General features: G+C 46.8%; 1 pseudogene, besides 1 other annotated feature; it reads left to right on the plus strand.

Moving 5' to 3' along the window:
* Positions 10,477-10,977: an enhancer, noted in NCBI's record as "H3K4me1 hESC enhancer chr10:120394958-120395458 (GRCh37/hg19 assembly coordinates)". NCBI's record gives its function as "activates a minimal SCP1, AML or CMV promoter by ChIP-STARR-seq in naive H9 embryonic stem cells {active_cell/tissue: H9 hESC(naive)}" and the evidence as "EXISTENCE:reporter gene assay evidence [ECO:0000049][PMID:30033119]".
* Positions 18,790-19,425, plus strand: TOMM22P5 (TOMM22 pseudogene 5; annotated as a pseudogene).

Below are 20,888 nucleotides of genomic sequence, written 5' to 3' on the forward strand. Positions count from 1 at the left end.
GACTTTGGGGATGGAGCCCATTCCACAAAAAATAAAAAGAGGTACTCATGTCAGAGGCATTAGAACCAGAGCGACTCCATCTTGAGTGAGGGCTAGGAAAAATGAGGCTGGGGCTTGCTGGGCTGCATTCCCAGAAAGGTATTATTCCTAGCCTCTAGATGTTTATGGTTAAGTGAACAGATTGATAACATTTACTAAACAGACCCAGACTTAGGAGTGTTCTGATATCCCAGTCTCTTAACAGAAGAAGTCCTAATTTCCCTTTAAAGATAATATTGATTCTTGCAAAATATAGTAATTAAGAAAACTAATCCTTTATCACAGACCCTTGTAGGAGAGCACATCTCCCCATTATCTTTTTTTATCCTATATACTTATAAAGTATTGTACCTAGGTTGGACACATTCCTCCTCTTACTTTCGGGAACGCCCTACTCTATGGAGTAGCTGTTCTTTCACCACTTAACTTTCTTAATAAACTTGCTTTTGCTTTGTCCTGTGGACTCACTCTGAATTCATTCTTGTGTGAGATCCAAGAACACTCTTGGGGTCTGGATCTAGACCCCTTTCCTGTAACACTAACAAAGCCTCTTGCCACCCAGCAAAGTGTGAGAAGGACAATCACATTTCTACCAGAGAAACAAGCCCTGCATCTTGCACTGTGCCCTTTCAGTGAGAAAACAAAGCAGAAAATCAGAGCTCTGCTTCCAAGGAGACGCCTCCCCTGCAGGGTCAGAGTGACCTGAGCTCACTTGAACTGTTTTTTCCCCACCACAATAAGGACTCTCTAGAAACACAATTATCTTCACGTGGCCAACACTGGGCTCTTTGGCCAAGACAGCTGAATAAAGACCCTGTTATTGAACCAACCTGGGGTCCGCATGCCAGGTAGAGTAAGGATAGAACATCCACACTGAGGTTTGCAGCAGAAGACAGGAAGGCATTTATTTGCCGGGCAGCATTGCCCGATTTTCCTTACTTGGTGCCTGGCAAAAATGCCTTCCTCTCTTCCTTACTTGGTGACTAGCAAATAATCCTGACCTCACTGATGGTTTGCAGGTAAGAATTTTTAAAGGCAGGGATCAGCTTCAGGAAAGCAGAAATTACAGGCAAAATTGTAAATCAGTAGATGAAGTTTACACATTGGTTTTGGCCTAAAAGGGTAGGATATCTTGACATGGCGGCTTACATGTTAATAGGTAGATTCAAAGATTTTCTGATTTGCAATTGGTTAAGGAAGAGAAGCTTTATTTAAAAACTGGGGGTCAGGCTGGCCATGGTGGCTCACACCTGTAATCCCAGCACTTCGGGAGGCTGAGGCAGGTGGATCACTTGAGGTCAGGAGTTTGAGACCAGCCTGGTCAACATGGCGAAACCCCGTCTCTACTAAAAATACAAAAATTAGCCAGGCGTGGTGGCACATGCCTGTAGTCCCACTACTTGGGAGGCTGAGGCAGGAGAATTGCTTGAACCCGGGAGGCAGAGGTTGCAGTGAACTGAGATCACGCCACTGCACTCCAGCCTGGGCAATGGAGCAAGGCTCCATCTCAAAAAATAATAACAAAATAAAAACTGGAGGTTAGCAGAAAATGTTAGCTCCGGCTCCTGGGTGTGACTTCCTCTAGACCCCTCAGGAAGAAATTTAGAAGAAAGAACAGTGGTCTGAGGTCAGTCCTCAGTTCCCCTTTATCTGAGGTCTACGAGCCAGTCTGGTGGGGGTCCAGGTTTCTGAGAAACAACTTGGGGACATATAGTAAGATGTTGCCTTTGGTTTCTATAGGGAACCAAACAGCCTGTGATTTCAGCTTCCTTGGCTATTGTTCTAAGCTACTATTACCTTCTTGCCTATCAGGTTGCTTATTTACTTCTCAGAGCAAGCTAGGTAGGTGCCTGGAATTTCCCTAGATGGAACTCAAGATGTTCCTTTAATTCCATGCTTGGGGTCTCGACAGCTTTTTGGGGGGCGAGTGGGGGACGGCTTCATCTCAACCCCATGCAAAATCCCAGATGGAAGGGAGAAAGGAGGTCACAAAAGACCCAGCTGGAGGTCAATGGGGCCCTGCTCCCTCCCCCTGGCTATAGCAAGAAGGAATTTCTGAGCCACAGGGCCACTGAGAGAGGAGCAGGCTCAGAGCTTGAGTCAGCTGCACTGGATCAGGAAGAGCGCCTCCTGCTGGTGACAGCAGCTCTGTGACCAGTGTAGACCCCACCGCCATCCCACTCCTGGGCCTCCCCAGGGTTTGGCTGGGCTCGGTGGGAGTGGCTGGGCAGCCTGGTCCCATTTCCAAACATGCAGCAGGGAAAACTTGGAAAGGCAGGGGCTACTGGGACCTGCCCAACCCCCTTGGTTCTCTGCTTTCTGATGCCCCTCCAAAACTAGGAGGAGACTCTCCCCCACCCCCCGCAACAAAATACTGTGGAAAGATCCTTCAACTAAAGAGACCTGGAAGCTGATGCCACATCTACTTCTGACTTGCTGTGTGACTATGGGGAAATCACTGCCCTTCTCTGAGACTTAGTTTCCTCTTAAATGCACAAAAAGCCATTAGCACAGTGAGCACTCATGGCAAACTCTCTGTGAATATGAGCTGTTTTTATGATGATGAGAAGGTTAAATGGGCTTTTGGAATGACCTATTTCCAGGACCCTTTCCTATCTTGTAGCTGAATAAGCAAAACATCTGTTTTAAACAAGCTGGTATCATCATCATCATAGATATTGTTTATTAAGCACTTTTGTGCCAGGCAGTCTGATCACATCATTCGTTAAAAAAAAAAAAAAAAAAACCCTGCAAGGGTCCAGGCACGTTGGCTCATGCCTGTAATCCCAACACTTTGGGAGGTCAAGGGAGGCAAATTAACCTGAGGTCAGGAGTTCGAGACCAGTCATCTCTACCAGAAATACAAAAATTAATTGTGTGTGGTGGTGGGCACCTATAATCCCAGCTACTTGGGAGGCTGAGGCAGGAAAATTGCTTGAACCTGGGAGGTGGAGTTTGCAGTAAGCTGAGATCACACCACTGCACTCCAGCCTGGGTGACAGAGTGAGACTCCATCTTTAAAAAGACAAAAACAAACTTGACCGGGCATGGTGGCTCATGCCTGTAATCCCAGCATTTTGGGAGGCTGAGGCAGGTGAGTCACCTGAGGTCAGGAGTTCAAGACCAGCCTGGCCAACATGGCAAAACCCCATCTCTGCCTAAAATACAAAAATTAGCTGGGCATGGTGGCACACGCCTGTAATCCCAGCTACTCAGAGGGCTGAGGCAGAAGAATCACTTGGACCCAGGAGGCAGAGGTTGTAGCGAGCCAAGATCATACCACTGCATGCCAGCCTGGGAAGGAGAGTGAGATTCCATCTTGGGGAGGGGGGAGGAACCTTGCAAGGTAGATAACAGTAGCCCCTATTTGGAAGGTGGCACAGCTGGGGTCCAGATAGATGAAGTAACTTGCCCAAGGTCACACAGTTAATAAATGGCAAAGCTTGGATTGGAGCCCACATCTTTTGATTATACCACAGATGCTGACCCCATAAAAAGAAGTCCTATACCTAGGTCCTATACCACACAACTTAGAGTCCAAACCAAAACATTTCATAGGGTGACCAACCATTGTGGTTTGCCCAGAACTGAGAAGTTTCTCAGGACAAGGGACTTACAGTAACAAAACTGGCATAGGCCTGGGCAGACAGGGACAGTTGGTCATTCTACTTCTGAAGGAGAAAGGGAACACTATTATTCAGTTTGGGATACTTTTTGATTTCCCTTGTGATTTCTTCTTAGACAAATGGATTGTTTAAAATTGTATTGCTTGATTCCCAAATATCTGGGGGATTTTCTAGATATTTTTTAATTTAAAGTGTAATTCCATTTTGGTTTGGGAACATACTGTATATGATTTTAACCTTTGGAAATTTGAGATTTATTTTGTGGTCCAGCACATGGTCTACCTTGTTGAATGTTCCATTTGCATGGGAAATGGATGTGTCCTGCTGTCACTGAGTGGAGGGTCTGTAAGTGTCAGCTGGGCCAAGTGGGTCCATAGCGCTGTTCAGATCTTCCAGATCCTTGGCCTATCAGAGATCCTTTGTGCTACCAATTACTGAGAGCAAGATAATAAGATTCCCTATGACAGATCTGTCTGCTTCTACCTTTAGTGTGGTCAATTTTTGCTTCTTATTTTTTGAAACTCTGTTACTAGGTGCCTGTGCAATTAGGAATGTTATGTCTTCTGATGAATTGGCCCTTTTTATCACTACGAAAAGTCCCTCTTTATCTCTGGCAATATTCCTTCTCTTGAAGTCTATATTAAATAATTCATAAGCTCCTTGCCAATTCTAAAAAAGGAAAAGTATGTATGTCCCTGCAGCTGCCCTGAGTCATTTAATTAAAAGATATTCATGGGTTGTTTTTTCCACTCCCTCTTGGTGCGTGACAGATCTCAGTGTTTAGCACATCCTTTTATACAAAAACAAATTGTCTGTTTGGTTAAAACCTTCCCAGATGTGATTCCAGTTTGGCTGTTGTGAAAGCAGCTGTTTCAGCCAAGTTGATGAGGTACTTTGTCTTGGGAAGAAGTGGCAATTTAACAGTTCTCATAAACCCAAATCTCTGGGCTCCCAAATACATTGCACCGGTGAGGCTAATGCTAATGTTGCCCTTTGGAAACTTCAAAAACACAGGTGACCTTCTCAGTAATAACCTCCTTCCTTACAGCTTGTCTGTCATTTTGTCTACACAGAGATATGCTTGGATATGGTGGGGCCTCAGGGCTCACAATGATGCCAGAACTTAGAGCTGCCATGCAGATGGGCAGTGGGCAGGTAAAAAGAGGCTTATGTGTGGTTGTGTGGTTTCTAGTTTAGAAGACGGGGAGAATGGTGTTTCCAAAGACTGGAATAGGGTCGCTGGTTGGTACCATCTTATTTCATCATCATTTCTCCCCTGTTCAGCCCAGCGATAAGCATCTAGTAGAGGCTTAATCATATTTGTGGATGATTCAATAATTGAGTAAATGAAATTGAAGTCAGAATATGCTCTCAGAGGAAGGAAGGGAATAAATCAGGGATCAAACACTCCACTCCATCAGGGACTCTATTGGTCAGGTTTCAATTGCAGCTCAGTTCCCCTTTATCTAGCTAGTTTAAGGAGAAGTGAATTTAAGTCAGGGAATTGGGTACTTACAGGGGCATTGGAAGGGATGGAGGAATAAATAGTCTGTAGGCTGAGAGGAGATTCCTAAAAAACATCACAGAACTGCTCCGCCAAAGGAAGGGAATTGACACTTCTGCTATAATCAAAAAGCTGAGGAGGTACCAAATAGCTACTGGCTGGAGGTCTCCACCTCTGGTGGCCAGGGTTCAGGAAGCTGCTCCTAGGGCTGTTGGCTCCAGAGTCATGTTGTGCCTGTTGGAATCCAGCACGGAAAATAGGTGCTGCAAACCTCCCCACTTAGTTCTGAATTCATGTCCCAAGCAAGTGCATCTGATTGATAAATCTGAATCCCATCCAGAGCCATTCCTGCAAGGAGCTTGGGACAGGCAGATCTTAGCTTCCCAGCCTCTACCAGAGAGGAGGGTATCCTAGAAGTGGGTTGGAATGGATGCTGAGTGAACCCACCTACCATCTCTACTACGAGTGCCAATGTGGCTGGTATAAAACAGTGGGTGTGGTACCTGAGGGAGATTCAAAATGATTCAAGAACATTGTGCTGGCCAGGTGAGACACATCTCAGCTACACCTGCCTCACTCTGGGACCATGAGGCTCCTGCCATGAACAAAAGCTAGAGAGGCTGGAGGAGAGCTCTAGGTGAATGCCCCAAGTAGGGAGGAGGGGAGGAAGAAAAGCCAGTAAAGCAAGCATGAAAGGAAAAGGAGCAGGGAAGGAGAGAAACCAGGAAGATGGGAGTGGCCACCTGTATTAGGGTTCTCTTAGAGGGACAGAACTAATAGGAGATATATGTGTGTGTGTGCGTGTGTGTGTGTGTGTATATATATATATATACACACACACACACACACGCACACACACACATATATATATGGGAGTTTATTAAGTATAAATTTACATGATCACAAGGTCCCACAATAGGCCGTCTGCAAGCTGAGGAGCAAGGGGAGCCAGTCTGAGTCCCAAAACTGAAGAACTTGGAGTCCGATGTTCAAGGGCAGGAAGCATCCAGCACAAGAGAAAGATGTAGGCTGGGAAGTTAGGGCCATCTCTCCTTTCCATGTTTTTTTTCTGCCTGCTTTATATTTGCTGTAAGATGACTAGATTGTGCCCATCAGATTAAGGGTGGATCTGCCTTCCCCAGTCCACTGACTCAAATGTTAATCTCTTTTGGCAACACCCATACAGACACACCCCGGATTAATGCTTTGTATCCCTCAATCCAATCAAATTGACACTCAGTATTAAACCATCACACACCCATCATCAGAGAAGAGGAGGCCCCTGTAAGATGTACAGGGGCAGCAGGGGAAAGCCGCACTGGAGGGAGTGAAACAGGCCCTTTGGCAGGACCTGGTAAAGCTGAAAATGCACACCCAGTCTCCTTTTGAGAGACTCACACACAGCCTCAGGGAGGCAGGCACAGGCACAGCCACCAGAGTTAGGGAGAAATTCCCACCCGGATGTCCAGCAGTCATTGTAAAGTGGTGGGTACACAGCATGTAATACTTCACAGTTAAACGGAAGTATATGTGTGTGTCCAGATCATATATGTCAACACAGATTTCAAAAACAATGTTGGATGGGAAAAGCAAGATGACAAATGTGTCTAGAACAATGCCATTTGTGTCAATTTTGAAAACACACGTATGAATCCTGCTCAAGGACATGGAAGCATGTGTGTACTTATTGCAGACTGGAAGCATCCACAGTAACCTCCTGCTACAGGTTAACTCGGGATGGTTGTGGGGAGTGAAATGGGATTGGTCAACATAGCTTAACAGGACTGTACCTCCATTGCTAATGCTTATTTATTTAAGTATGGAAGAAAATAGGATGTTAACAGCTACTAATTTAAGTGGTGACAATGTCTTGGTTATATTCTTTTTGTACTTTGGTTGGTGGTTTAGATTTTTGCTCCCCCAAAAGCTCATGCTGAAATTTGATCCCCAGTGTTGAAGGTGGGGCCTAATGGGAGGTGTTTGGGTCAGGGGGGTGGATCCCTCATGAATGGCTTAGTGCTGCCCTTGAGATAATGAGTGAGTTCTCATTATCTCCACAAGAGCTGGTTGTTGAAAAGAGCATGGTACCTCCCCCTCGCTCTCTTGCTTCCCCTCTTGCCACGTGAGCTCTGCACATGCCCACTTCCCTTCACCTTCTTCCATGAGTGGAAGCAGCCTGAGGTACTTATCAGAAGCTGAATCAATGCCAGTGCCATGCTGCTTGTATGGCCTGCAGAACCATGAGCCAAAGAAACCCCTTTTCTTTATAAATGGCCCAGCCTCAGATATTCCATTATGGCAACACTAAACAGACTAAGACAAGTACTTTTCCATGCAATTTAATTTCTCACAAAATAGATTTTTTTAAGAAAAGAGAGTGGGTGATTCTGAAGTGGTTTTGCACATTTAATGCCACTCAATGCACATTTGTTTCTTACTGACCTGTTTGGATGCTATGATTGTTGTCTAGTGGGAGAGGCAGGATTTGCCAGGGCCAAGGTTTAGGCAAATTGATGGGGCTTCAAGCAGCTCATCTCTGCATTTGGTGATGCAATCTAAAAACATCCCAGCTCTGCTGCTCTGGAGGGCAGGTAGACAGGCTCAGCAGACTGGCAGGGACGTGGACAGGTACCCTCCACCAGAGCCTGGCTGCCCCCATTCTCAGGATTAGTGGTCCCCTCCAATCCCTCCTCTGAACTTTTCCCCCTCACCCTAAGGAGTCAGAGGGCAATGAGAAAAGTATCCCAGAGAGCAAGGCAGTTGTTCTCTCCAAGGAGAACACATGAACTAAAGCAGGGAAGTAGAGTCCTCACAGGAGACAGAGCCTCGACTCTTTCTGGTGAGCCTGACCTTGTCCTGGTTGCTTATCTCAGGCTATCTCCTCCACTTTCATAAACTCTGATCTCCTAGGCAGAGACTGGGAGAAAATCCCATTGGATGAATGCCCATGTATACCAGGCTCTGAGGCAGACACACACTCACACAACAGATTCACTCTCTGCTGTCTCCCAACAAGCCTGTGGGTGACTTAGGGCTCCTTGGTTGCAAGCAAGAGAAACTAACGCTGGAGAATGTAAACAAAAAGGGGTCTATCAGAAGGTTATTGGTTAGGCTCATGGAAGTGACAAGAAGACTGGAGAAATGGATCAGAAGAGGACCTGGAAGCTGGGCAGATCCCAAGTTCTAAGGAATAACATCTCTCAGGAGTCTTGCCAGGGTCTGCCTGTCAGAATGAGGAGCACGGGTCATTCTTGGGATGTCCCTGGATCCACTCTGATTGACCCACCCTCTACAAGTCCCTCTGGGATTATACACAGTGGAGAAGGTAATTCCCCAAAAGGAAATCAAGGAACTGTTAAAAAGGGAGAAGAGTTGATGAGCAGCCAACAAAGAGCAAATGTCCACCAAACTTTAAGGATGGTTATAATCCCACCCATTTTACCGATAAGGAAACTGAGTCCCAGAGAGATTAAATAATTTTCCTAGGGCCACACACTTAGTACAGAACTGGGATTCCAGCTTCGTTCCTTGGGCCCCAAAGCCCGTGCTTATCCCACTCACCATTCCTAAATCTCCAAAGACCTAAGAAGGGCGAACAGGACAAACATCACCCGCAGAGTCAAGGCCCCCTCCTGAGTTTTATCTCTGTACACAGGTCATCTGAAAACTGCAGCTTTTCAAAATTTCCGTGCTTTCTCACCCCAGATGGAAATTAAGGCCATGACAAAGCTCAGGACTTGGTGCTGTGCTATGGGATGCTGCTCAAGTGATTGCCTTATTATAGCAAGCCCAGAGACGTAATTTCTCAAACCATCTGGCTGGAGTACGTGCCTGGGAAGGAAGAATTAAGATGCCCTTGGAGAGACTAATCAAATAATAAATGGCAGACACACTCCTGAGAGCCTTGGTTCGTGGAGAAGTAGCCCTGGAAGCTGTTAAGGACCCTGCACCCGAGACACGCCTGTGTGCATCTGCCTTTCTGCTCTCCCTTTGCAGAGAGAGAAGGCTCCCTCTGTCCATCCTGGTGGCAAGTGGGGAGGGGACGGGGGACAGGAAACTGAGTTCCAAATGGGGAGCATTCAGCACAGATGACATGAGCTTGTTTCTCTCCTGAAGAGCCCAGTTGATCACACCTGGGCTAAAACATTTCAGCTACAATCCCATGCTAATCTTTTCACCGTGATAACAGCCAATATTTCAGCTGCACTTTTCCCTCAGGAAGACTAGGAATAAACAGCAGGGGGAACAGAAAGGCAGCAAGACTTGCAGCAGGACTCTTCCATCCAAGAGTAGCCTTCTGAAACAAGAGCAGGCAGCTTGGAACTGGTCTGAATGTGTTTCAGATGAAGAGGTGGCACCAGGCTAGATATTAAGAGACAATCTCCTATCGACTAGCTCTGAGTTAAAGGCATATGTGTGTTTGGGGGTGGGGTGGTGTGGGCATGCGCCCTGCAATACACAGCGCAATCAGAGCAAGCAAGAATCATCCAGCCCAACATACACCAGGGTTTCCTACCTTCAGCACTATTGATATTTTGGGCTGGTTAAATTTTTTGTTGTGGGGTGTCCTGTGCATTGTAGTATGTTTAGCAGCATCTGGGGCCTCCACCTGCTAGATGCCAGGAGAACCCAACCAGATCCACCCAACCCCATCTCTCTCCAGACCCTTCATCCTTCCCAAGCTCATTCCCCCCACCCATCCCACCAACAATGCCAACAGCCTAGATCAGAAACTGCTGGGCTCTGGGCTAAATTGGGCTTGCTTTGGTTTGCTGGTGTTTTAAGTTCTTTAATTGGCTGCTAGAAGAACAAGTTTAATTTTCAACTTGTCCTGATAACTTCAAAACTTAGAAAACACGGACTTCCCTGGCAAGCTCCAGGGTCCCTTGTCCCCGTAGCAACCTCTAATCCTACTCACGCCCACCCCCCTGACTTATGGGACCAGCCCAGCCTTCTAGGCATTTGTGTTTGTGCCCCTGGTCTGTGCAGATGTGCCCCTGGTCTGTGCAGATATACCTGATACCTTGAGCCCTAGGGCCCTCTGTAAATACCCTCTCCTGACCCAAGGTGACCCTGAGGCCAAGGATTCCATAGTATTGTTTCTAATCCTTCTTTCTTATAATGAGGCCTCTCACTGTGGGGCACCTCACAGCCTACAAGGCTGTCTCACAGTTTCATGGCCATCCTCTTCGTCTTTGCAACAGCCCTGGAAGACGGAGGCATAGGTACAATCTCCCCCAGACTATAGGAGGGAAAACTGATTCACTTTACCCAAATGACCCAACTTATTGATAGAGGAGCTGCTTGGAGCCCAAGGCTCTGGTCTAGGGTTTGCTCCTATTATAGGAGATTACAATAGAATCCTTCTGATTCATATATTGAAGCCCTAACCCCCAGTGTGGTCATATTTGGAGATGGCACCTCTAAGGGAGTAATTAAAATAAAAGCATAAGGGTAGGGCCCTGATCTGATAGCATTTGTTTCCTTGTAAGAAAAGACACCAAGAGCTCCAAATTTCTGTCTCACTTGCTCAGCACACACACACACATTGAGGAAATGTTCTATGAGCACCCAGTAAGAAGGCAGCAGTCTGCAAGCCAGAAAATGAGTCCTCACCAGAAACCTTGATCTTAGACCTCCAGACTCCAGAACTGTGAGAAAATAAACATCTGTTGTTCAAGCTCCCCAACCTGTGGTAGGCAGCACTAACATCTCTCAGCAGGGGCCACCTTTGCACAGGGACCCCCTGAGGACTGTGGCCCCAGGGCTGAGAAGCTGGTTGGTGAGTGAGCGCCTACTCTGCCTCTGCTCACTCTGCTTCAGCTGCACAAGGGCCCTGCTGCTCCCCCATCTGCCACCCCAGCCTCAGGACTTTGCCTGGCTCTCCCCTCCCCCTGGAGCTCCCAGGTCTCTATTCTGTTTCTGCTTGCTTCCCCAACTCAGCTCCTCGGCTTTCTTTCCCTTAGAGTACTAGTCTCTATGTTGCATTATATCATGAACTCACTTGCCTGCTGTCTGCCTCTCCCACTAGAATCTAAGCTCATAAGCAAGGTTGTCTGTCTGGTTTATCTCTGTGTCTACAACAAAGCCTAGCACATAGCGGACACTTAATAGCAATCTTGGTTTTTTTCAGACTGCTATAATAAAATACCAGAAACTGGGCAGCTTATAAATAACAAGTTTATTTCTCACAGTTCTAGAAACTAGGAAGCCCAAGATCAAGCTGCCCGCAGATTCAGTGTCTGGGGAGGGTCTGCTTTCTGGGTGAGAGATGGCACCTTCTCTCTGTGTCCTCACATAGTGGAAGGAGCAAGCAAGCTCTTTGATCAGGGCATTAATGCCATTCATGAGGGCTCCACCCTCATGACCTAATCACCTCCCAAAGGCCCCACCTGTACATGCCATCACCTTGGGGGTTAGGCTTTCAACATTTGAATTTTAGGGCTACAGAAACATGCAGATAATAGCAATAGCTAATTGCTGAATTCAGCTTATGTACTTGATGTATTAAAGGAAAATTGAGCCATTATGTTTTTTTGTTTTTTGTTTTTGTTTTTGAGACAGAGCCTCACTCTGTTGCCCAGGCTGGAGTGCAGTGGCATGATCTCAGCTCACTGCAACTGCTGCCTCCTGGGTCCAAGCGAGTCTCATGACTCAGTCACTGGGACTACAGGCGTGCATCACCATGCCCAGCTAATTTTTGTATTTTTAGTAGAGACAGGGTTTTGTCATGTTGACTAGGCTGGTCTTAAATTCCTGGCCTCAAGTGATCCACCCACCTCAGCCTCCCAAAGTGCTGGGATTACAGGTGTGAGCCACTGCGCCCAGCCGTTGTTTTTATGATTATATAAGAAATGTATGCTCATAAAAAATCAGATAACACATCAACTTACAAAGAAGGAAATAATTCTGACTCCAGTCTCTTCTATTCTCTCTACCATCTCACACATATCAAAGCACTTGTTAAAATATTTATGGTCTTCCTTCTCTTAGATCTTTTTCTAATACTAAAATACTTAATATATACTGGGGCCCCTTGCTCCTCAGAGATCCAGATGCGGTTGGTAAGACTGCCAATTCATAGCCCACCACAGTCCCCAGTTCCTGCTGGTTCCTAGGGGCCTCCTCTGCTCCCTGGTCCGCTCAGCTGTGGACCCTGCACCCCATGTGCTGTGTCTGTTTCTCCCCCTAATTCCCCATGCATAGAACTCAGCTGTCTTGCCACTGTCCATAGGAAATCCTCTCAGGCATTTTGACTTTCCTGAATACATGGGAGTCCCACTGCCAATGTTGTGGTCACTCCTCCCTGACTCCTAGACTGCTCTGGCAGCTCCAAGCCAGCCCACCCCGCATCAGGCAAGGAGAGGTGATGCTTCCAGCTTCACCCTCAACCTGGAGCTCCCTCCAGGGATCAGCAGAACAAAGCAGGCTCCATCTGACCAGAGTCACCCTTCTGAAAACACAGTTGTTATAAAAAGCAACAATGACAACAAATCTGTTACACATATATATACCTTTTTACCCAAACAAGATCATACTCTGTTATGGACCAAACTGTCCTTTCCCCCTTCCCTTTCAAATTCATATGTTGAAGCTGTAACCCCCAATGTGACTGTATTTGAAGATAGAACCTTTACGGAGGTAATTAGGAAGACAATTCAGGTTAAATGAGGTCATAAGATCATTGAATAGAGCCCTAATCCTGTAAAATGGGTGCCTCTATAAGAAAAGAGACACCAGCAGTCTCACTTTGCACACATGGAAAAGGCCATGTGAACACAGAGCAAGAAGGTGGCTGTTTGCAAGGCAGAAAGAGAGCCCTCACCAGAAACAACCCTTTGGCACCTTGATGTTGGACTTCCCAACCTCAGAACTATGAGGAAATAAACATCTGTTTAAGCCATCCAGTCTTGGGTACAGCAGCTGGAACTCATCAACACATACTCTACACACTATTTAATAAACTGCTTTTTCACCTAGTAGAATATGGTAGATATCTTTTTGGGTTCTTTCATATCAGTGCTACCTTGTTATTTTGAACAACTACATTCAGCTTATACTGAATATTTCTGAAATTGAGGCTTTTAATGTGTGTCCAAATCAATGTGTTCTGCCTTAGAACAGAAACTTCCTGAGGGCTGGGCACAGTGGTTCATGTCTGTAATCCCAGCATTTTAGGAGGCCGAGGCAGATGGATCACTTGAGCCAAGGAGTTCCAGACGAGCCTGGGCAACATGGCAAAACCCTGTCTCTACAAAAATTACCAAAAAATTAGCCAGGCATGATGGAATGCACCTGTAGTCCCAGCTACTTGGGAGGCTGAGGTGAGAGGATTGCTTGAGCCTTAGAGGTTGAGGCTGCAGTGAGCCAAAATCACACCACTGCACTCCAGCCTCGGTGACAGTGAGATCCAATCTCGAAAAGAGAAGAAAAGAAACTTCATGAGAGCAGCATCCTGAGAACCAAGAGTAGGAAGGCTCAGTCTCCAAAGATCCTACGAAGCAGAATCCACATCTCTGACAGCTCTGCAGAGATGAAGACATAGTCATGTTCCCCTAACCCTGGGATAAGACCCCTCTCTCACGCGCCTCCTTGCAGTGTGGTCAGGGGCTTCCTTCCCCTGAGCCCGTGCCCCCTCCCAGAAAAATGTAGCCTCTGAGACACAAGCAGGTCTGCAGCAAGACCGCTTCTCTCCCTCCCTCAACGTGCAGGTTGCTCTCGGAGTTGCTGCCATCGGAAGTTTTCTAGGCAGAGGTTAGTGCCTCATGAATGTAATTAGTGATAATGGCCCTGAGTCAGCCAGGAGGTCTGTTTTTCAGTCGGTTTTTCAAATTAGGACAGAGAAAACATTTTCACTGCCACCCAGGCTGGCTGGGTGCTGTCCACGCTGTGACCTTCCTCCCTGGCCCAGTCCTTTCAGAAATAGAAAAATCCCACTTCCAGTTAGAGGACGAGAAAGGCACAGCTCCAATCACTAGAGCTGTTGACAAAAATCAGCCACATGCTGAGGCAGGTCTGCTGAGCTGTTCAGACCATGTGCTTTCACAGTCCTGGTGCTTGTACCTGGCCCTGGCTGGGTACAGGAAACCTACAGGGGTCTCTATAAAATGAGGGGGTTTTGGAGACAGGCGGGCAGGGCTGGTTGGAAAATCTTGAGACAGATCACCTGCTACCCTGCTGGGCAACCCTCTCCTGACCCCAGCAGAGTCCCTCATCCTTCTTGCAGCTGGCCCTAACCACTTTCCAACTGGAGATTGATGACCTGCCTCCGTTTCTTCCTCCCTGTAGTTCTTGGGGGTAGGCAGCTGGACCTCTTCTCCTCAGCTCTTCTTCCCTCCCCCAGTGATGCTTCCTCTAAGATCTCCCATTCCTCCCCATCCCAAAGACAATGACGATGACAAAGAATCACTTACAGAACAGTGGGGCTTCATCAGACTGCATCCTTTCTGTGGACCATCTCACCAAATGCTCAGTTTATCTCTGAGTGGTAGGTCCTAATGCTATGCCTGTCCCACACATGAGAAAAGCGAGATGTCCCAGGGTAGGGATGGGGGAACATGACAGTACCTCCATTTCTTTGCCTACAGAACTGTCAGGGATGTGGGTTCTGCCTCGCAGGACCTTTGGAGACTGAGCCTGGCCATTCCTGGTTCTTCAGATACTGCTGTCAGTGAATTGCCCAGCTAGGAAGTGGTGGAGGTGAACTTGGACCCCAGTGCACCTACTCCTGAGCACCATACTCGTGCCTCAACAGAAGGGTAGAGTGTCAAAGACCCCAAAGGGCAAAGGTGGAGGCATCCCACTGGAGTGGGAACGTGCAGGACCTGCAGCTGGACACTGCTCTGGTACCACCTGCATCTGATGTTTTGATTGGTATCAGGGAACCTGCCCCCGATAGTCACGTAGGTTCTTTTCTATTTTCCCTAAGCATCGGCCGGGTTGAGAAATAAAGGGACAGAGTACAAAAGAGAGAAATTTTAAAGCTGGGCATCTGGGGGAGACATCACATGTCGGTGGGTTCAGTGATGCCCCCTGAGCCGTGAAACCAGCAAGTTTTTATTAGTGATTTTCAAAAGGGGAGGGAGTGTACGAATAGGGTGTGGGTCACAGAGATCACGTGCTTCACAAGGTAATAGAATATCACAAGGCAAATGGAGGCAGAGGGAGATCACAGGACCACAGGACCGGGGCAAAATTAAAATTGCTAATGAAGTTTCAGGCACCATTGTCATTGATAACATCTTATCAGGAGACAGGGTTTGAGAGCAACCGGTCTGACCAAAATTTATTAGGTGGGAATTTCCTCGTCCTAATAAGCCTGGGAACGCTATGGGAGACTGGGGCTTATTTCATCCCTACAGTTTCGACCATAGAAGACGGCCACACCCAAGGGGGCCATTTTAGAGGCCTACCCTCAGGGGCACATTCTCTTTCTCAGGGATGTTCCTTGCTGAGAAAAAGAATTCAGCGATATTTCTCCCATTTGCTTTTGAAATAAGAGAAATATGGCTCTGTTCCGTCTGGCTCAGTGGTGGTCAGAGTTTAAGGTTATCTCTCTTGTTCCCTGAACATTGCTGTTATCCTGTTCTTTTTTCAAGGTGCCAAGATTTCATGTTGTTCAAACACACATGCTCTACAATTTGTGGAGTTAACGCAATCATCACAGGGTCCTGAGGTGACATACATCCTCCTCAGTTTACGAGATGACAGGATTAAGAGAGTAAAGACAGGCATAGGAAATCACAAGGGTATCGATTGCGGAAGTGATAAGTGTCCATGAAATCTTCACAATTTCTGTTTAGAGATTGCAGTAAAGACAGGTGTAAGAAATCATAAAAGTATTCATTTGGGGAACTAATAAATGTCCATGAAATCTTCACAATCCACATTCTTCTGCCATGGCTTCAGCTGGTCCCTCCGTTCAGGGTCCCTGACTTCCCACAACACATTGGGTCTAATGGTCATGGCAGGGAGGAGTCCCCACCCATACTGTAAACCCTCAGAGGGCACAGCAGCATCAGCTAGCTTTGTCTGGTATGGGTCTTTGTGCATCCCTTGAGGCCTCATGCCAAGACAAGAGTGCCCACCTGAAAGGTTCCCAGCCTCCCACAGCTGGGCTGGGATCATGCCTGCCCCTGCTCACCCCCGAGGCTGCTGGGAGCCCTCAGCTAAATCTCCTCAGCAGGAGCTCTCCAACCCTGCAGGCCTGAGTTCAGCCCCATACCCCAGCAGTTGCTCTACCCTCAAAATCCCCCACAGAAGGTTCCTGGTCATTTCCACTCCAATTTCCTTGGCTTTATTTAGCCCTTAACACCTGTCCTGTCCAGCCCGTTCCCCACTGGGAGACCAGAGGAAGGGAGGAAAGGTCATATGGGAAAGACACCTGGGGACACAGTCCATCCCTGAATCAGAAGACAGGGGGGCCAGGTTCAGGGCTTTCTTCCTCCACTGACTCACCTCTCAGGGTTCAATTGCCTCATCTGTGCAACGAACATGAAAGTCACCAGCCCGCCTAAAGGCAGAAGCTTAGGCAGATGAACTTCTGAAGGCATGTCCTACCCTCAAGCTCTATAATAGATAGGTCTAATAGGTCACAAGTAGCACTGGGGATCTACACGTGCTTGGGAAGGCTGCAGAGCTAATCCTCCTCCTGGTTTCTGGGGCAGTGTTTGAGTCTCACCAGTCAGTTACTGCAAATGGGCTCTGGGATAGGCATTTCATCCCCATACCCCTTCCCTTCTCTCCCTTCTCTTTCCCTCCCCACTGCAGGATACTTCCTGCCCCTGCTAAGTTGGCTTCCCCCAGGAAAAGGTAGGGACAGTCCAGCCTTACAGGAGTGCATGCTTGTCCTCCAGGTGAGGGCTGAGTTGCTCATACCTGGTATTCTCAGCTGCTGCCTTCACTGCAGCTTTGATGATGTTGCTGCTACCTTGGTTCCAACACAATGGTCATTCATGGCCACAGGAGGATTGCCCCTTTCCAGAACAAGGTGGAAGATGACTGGCAGGCACAGGCATCTGTTCTCTGGCCTCTAAAGCCCTCAGTGAACCTAAGATTAAATAAGTAGCCTTTGTTGCCACTGCTAAGAGGAAGGGAGATGGGACCAGAGAAGCCTCAGAGGGAGACAGTCCATGGAACTAGGGTTGTAGGGGGAATTGAGGGTGCTGACTCCAAACTCCTCCAGGCACTGCCTTCAGTCTGGGCACCTTCTGGGCTGTCAGCTGGGCAATCCCACCACCAGGAAGGTGAGCCTGGGGCATCAGGGGCTGCTGAGCCATGGGCTTGGGTCTGCCTGAGTTGGCACCACAGGGTCTACAGCATCTCTCTGGGCTGATGGCCTAGGCTGTGCAACCTCAGGGAACATGCTTAACTTCTCTGAGCCTCACGTTTCCCAAATGTCAAATGCACCATATGGATACAAAGATCTAGTTTTCAAACACTTTCAGCAGCAGATCCTCCAAATGTAAAAGAGGTGACGGCAGAGCCTGATGAATTTGGGAGGTTCTGGGACAGTTGGGGCCCCACCCAAAGACCTACCTATGTGGTCATGCTCCCCCTCAAGGGCTGGCCGGCTGAATTGAAATATCTTACATGTAAACTTTCACGTAAATATCTTACATGAAAAGTTAGCATAAACTCAAATTCTCAAATGAATTGCTGGCAATTGACTTTCTGCTAGTAAAGTTTCTTAAGCAAGCATGAATTTCCCTTTAAAAATCTAAATATTGTGCTTACCAAATCAAGCAAGAAATCTGGTTACATAGACAAAATGGTCATTTGGCAAAGTAATTGGTGAGTTTTGTTAGAATGCAGAAATGTGGTCTCCACCCCAGACCCACTGAATCAGGCCCTGCATTTTAACAAGATCTCCAGAGATCCCTACTGTCCTTCAAGTTTGAGAAGTGCTAAGTTAAAGCAATCACATTTGCATCACCCTAGCTCTTGAGAAATGGTCAGCATTCAGGCCCCCACTCCAGGGGTTCTCTGTTGGCCTGGGGTGAGGTCCATCCAGGTGCCCAGGTGTTGTGAAGTTCCTCAGGTGATGTCAGTGTGGATGCAGGGCCTGACTGCTGGGAGGGCCAGCAGCCACGCTTGTCTAAATGTCTTCATCTTCTCCCTCTTCTTTCATTCCCTTGGGGACCTTGAATTTCCAAGCTCTGGCAGATGCTCTCACTGGAGCCTGATTTCTGTCACCTAAAGCTGACAGTCACAAGCCGACAGCCAGGGAGATGCATCCCTTTCAAAGCAACTGAGTGGCGTGTCAGTTCATACTTTGCATGGGGCTAACCACTGGGAGGATAACAGTCGCAGAAGCGACCCAGTGGGGACAGAGGCAGGGCCAGCCTTCACTGACCACTTACTTCTTGGACCATCTCAGGGCAATTGGTCTGGGCAAGAGAGCCCTGTCCAAGCAAAGATCACAGGGCAGCCGGGGCAAGAGGGAGGCTGCTGGGGCTAGAAGAAGGGGCTGTAATGAGGACCAGGGGATAGAGTAGGAGCTTAGAGCCTCCATCCTTGACTCAAAGCCAAGATTCTGAATGCTCTTCAAGCTCTGCTTCTCAAGCTCCAGCCTACATCAGAATTACCTTGGGGCTTTTAAAAATACAGACTACATGACTACATAGCTGTCACCGTGGCTGCTGTCGGTGCAGGGGAACCCCCATCCCCAGACGTCCCCGGATGAATTGCTCCCAAAAGGCAAAGCCGTGAAGACTGAGGAGGAGCTGGAGGAGGATGACGATGAGGAGCTAGAGGAGACCCTGTCAGAGAGACTATGGGGCCTGACGGAGATGTTTCCGGAGAGGGTCCGGTCCGTGGCTGGAGCCACTTCTGATCTCTTCCTCTTTGTGGCTCAAAAAATGTACAGGTTTTCCAGGGCAGCCTTGTGGACTGGGACCACTTCCTTTATGATCCTGGTTCTTCCCCTTGTCTTTGAGACTGAGAAGTTGCAAATGGAGCAACAGCAGCAACTGCAGCAGCAGCAGATACTTCTAGGGCCTAACACAGGGCTCTCAGGAGGAATGCCAGGGGCTCTACCTTCACTTCCTGGAAAGATCTAGATTGTCACTGCTGTTTGAGCTATCTTGGTGGGAGAAGTTTGAAATTCAATAGTGTTTGAACTGCTGATTATTTGGATTTTTTTTTCTTTAACTTTGGCACATTGATCTATCTAAATCTAGTAGGGAGAATTCTCCCCACATTGTCTCATGGAAAGACTCAACTTGCAACTGTGCCCTCCACACTATCCTGACTTCTTTTCTTCACTCTGATACCATAGTGCAGCCATGCAGACAGTTATTCCAGCTCTAGCCGCTCCTTTCACCAAATTGCTCCTAACTGGAAGATCTCACTTTCCCTTTGTGGGCTAGGAACCGATGAAAGTGGGAGGGATGTGCCCCTGACCATTAACGACTGCTTTTTTATTTATTTTTTGGAATAGAAGGGTTTTTCTGATGTTTTAGAATTTTTATGGTTTCAGGTCTTAGATTTAAGTCTTTGATCGATTTTGAGTTGCTTTTTGCATAAGGTGAGAGATGAGGATCCAGTTTCATTCTTCTACATGTGGCTTGCCAATTATCCCAGCACCATTTGTAGAATAGGGTGTCCTTCCCCCACTTTGTTTTTGTTTGCTTAGTTGAAGATCAGTTGATTGTAAGTATTTAGCTTTATATCTGAGTTCTCTATTCTGTTACATTGGCCTCTATGCCCATTTTTATACCAATACCAGGATGTATTTTGGTGATTATGGCCTTATAGTATAGTTTGAAGTCAGCTAATGTGATGCCTCCAGATGTGTTCTTTTTGCTTAGTCTTGCTTTGACTATGTGGACTCTTTTTTTGGTTGCATATGCAATTAGGATTGTTTTTTCTAGTTCTGTGAAGAATGATGGTGCTATTTTGAGAATTTGCATTGAATTTTTAGAATGTTTTTGGCAGTATGGTTATTTTCACAATATTAATTCTACCCGTTCATTAGCATAGGATGTATGTCCATTTGTTTGTGTCAATGGAAAAACATCATGTGTCAATTTCTTTCAGCAATGTTTTGTACTTTTCCCTATAGAGGTCTTTTACCTCCTTGGTTAAGTATATTTCTCGATATTTTATTTTCTTGCAGCTATTGTAAAAAGGGCTGAGTTCTTGATTTGATTCTCAGCTTGGTCACTGTTGGTGTAAAACACAGCTACTGATTTGTGTATATTAATTTTGTATTCTGAAATTGGGCAGAATTCATTTACCAGTTTTAGGAGCTTTTTGGATGAGTCTTTAGGGTTTTCTAGGTATACGATCATGTCATCAGCAAACAGCAACAGTTTGACTTTGTCTTTACCCACTTGGATGCCCTTTCTTTCTCTTGTCTGTTTGTTCTGGCTAGAACTTCCAGTACTATGTTGAATAGAAGTGCTGAAAGTGGGCATCCTTGTCCTGTTCCAGTTCTCAGTGGGAATGCTTTCAACTTTTCTTTATTCAGTATAATGTTGGCTGTGGGTTTGTCATAGATGGCTTTTATTACCTTAAGCTATGTCCCTTTTATGCAATTTTGCTAACAGTTTCAATCATAAAGTGATGCTGGATTTTGTCAAATGTTTTTTCTGCATCTATTGAGATCATGTGATTTTTCTTTTTAATTCTGTTTATATGGTGTATCACATTTATTGACTTGCAGATGTTGAATCATCCCTGCACCCTTGTTATGAAACCCACTTAATCATGGTGGA

This window comes from Homo sapiens, chromosome 10 (genome assembly GCF_000001405.40).
Source record: "Homo sapiens chromosome 10, GRCh38.p14 Primary Assembly".
NCBI classification, from domain to species: domain Eukaryota; kingdom Metazoa; phylum Chordata; class Mammalia; order Primates; family Hominidae; genus Homo; species Homo sapiens.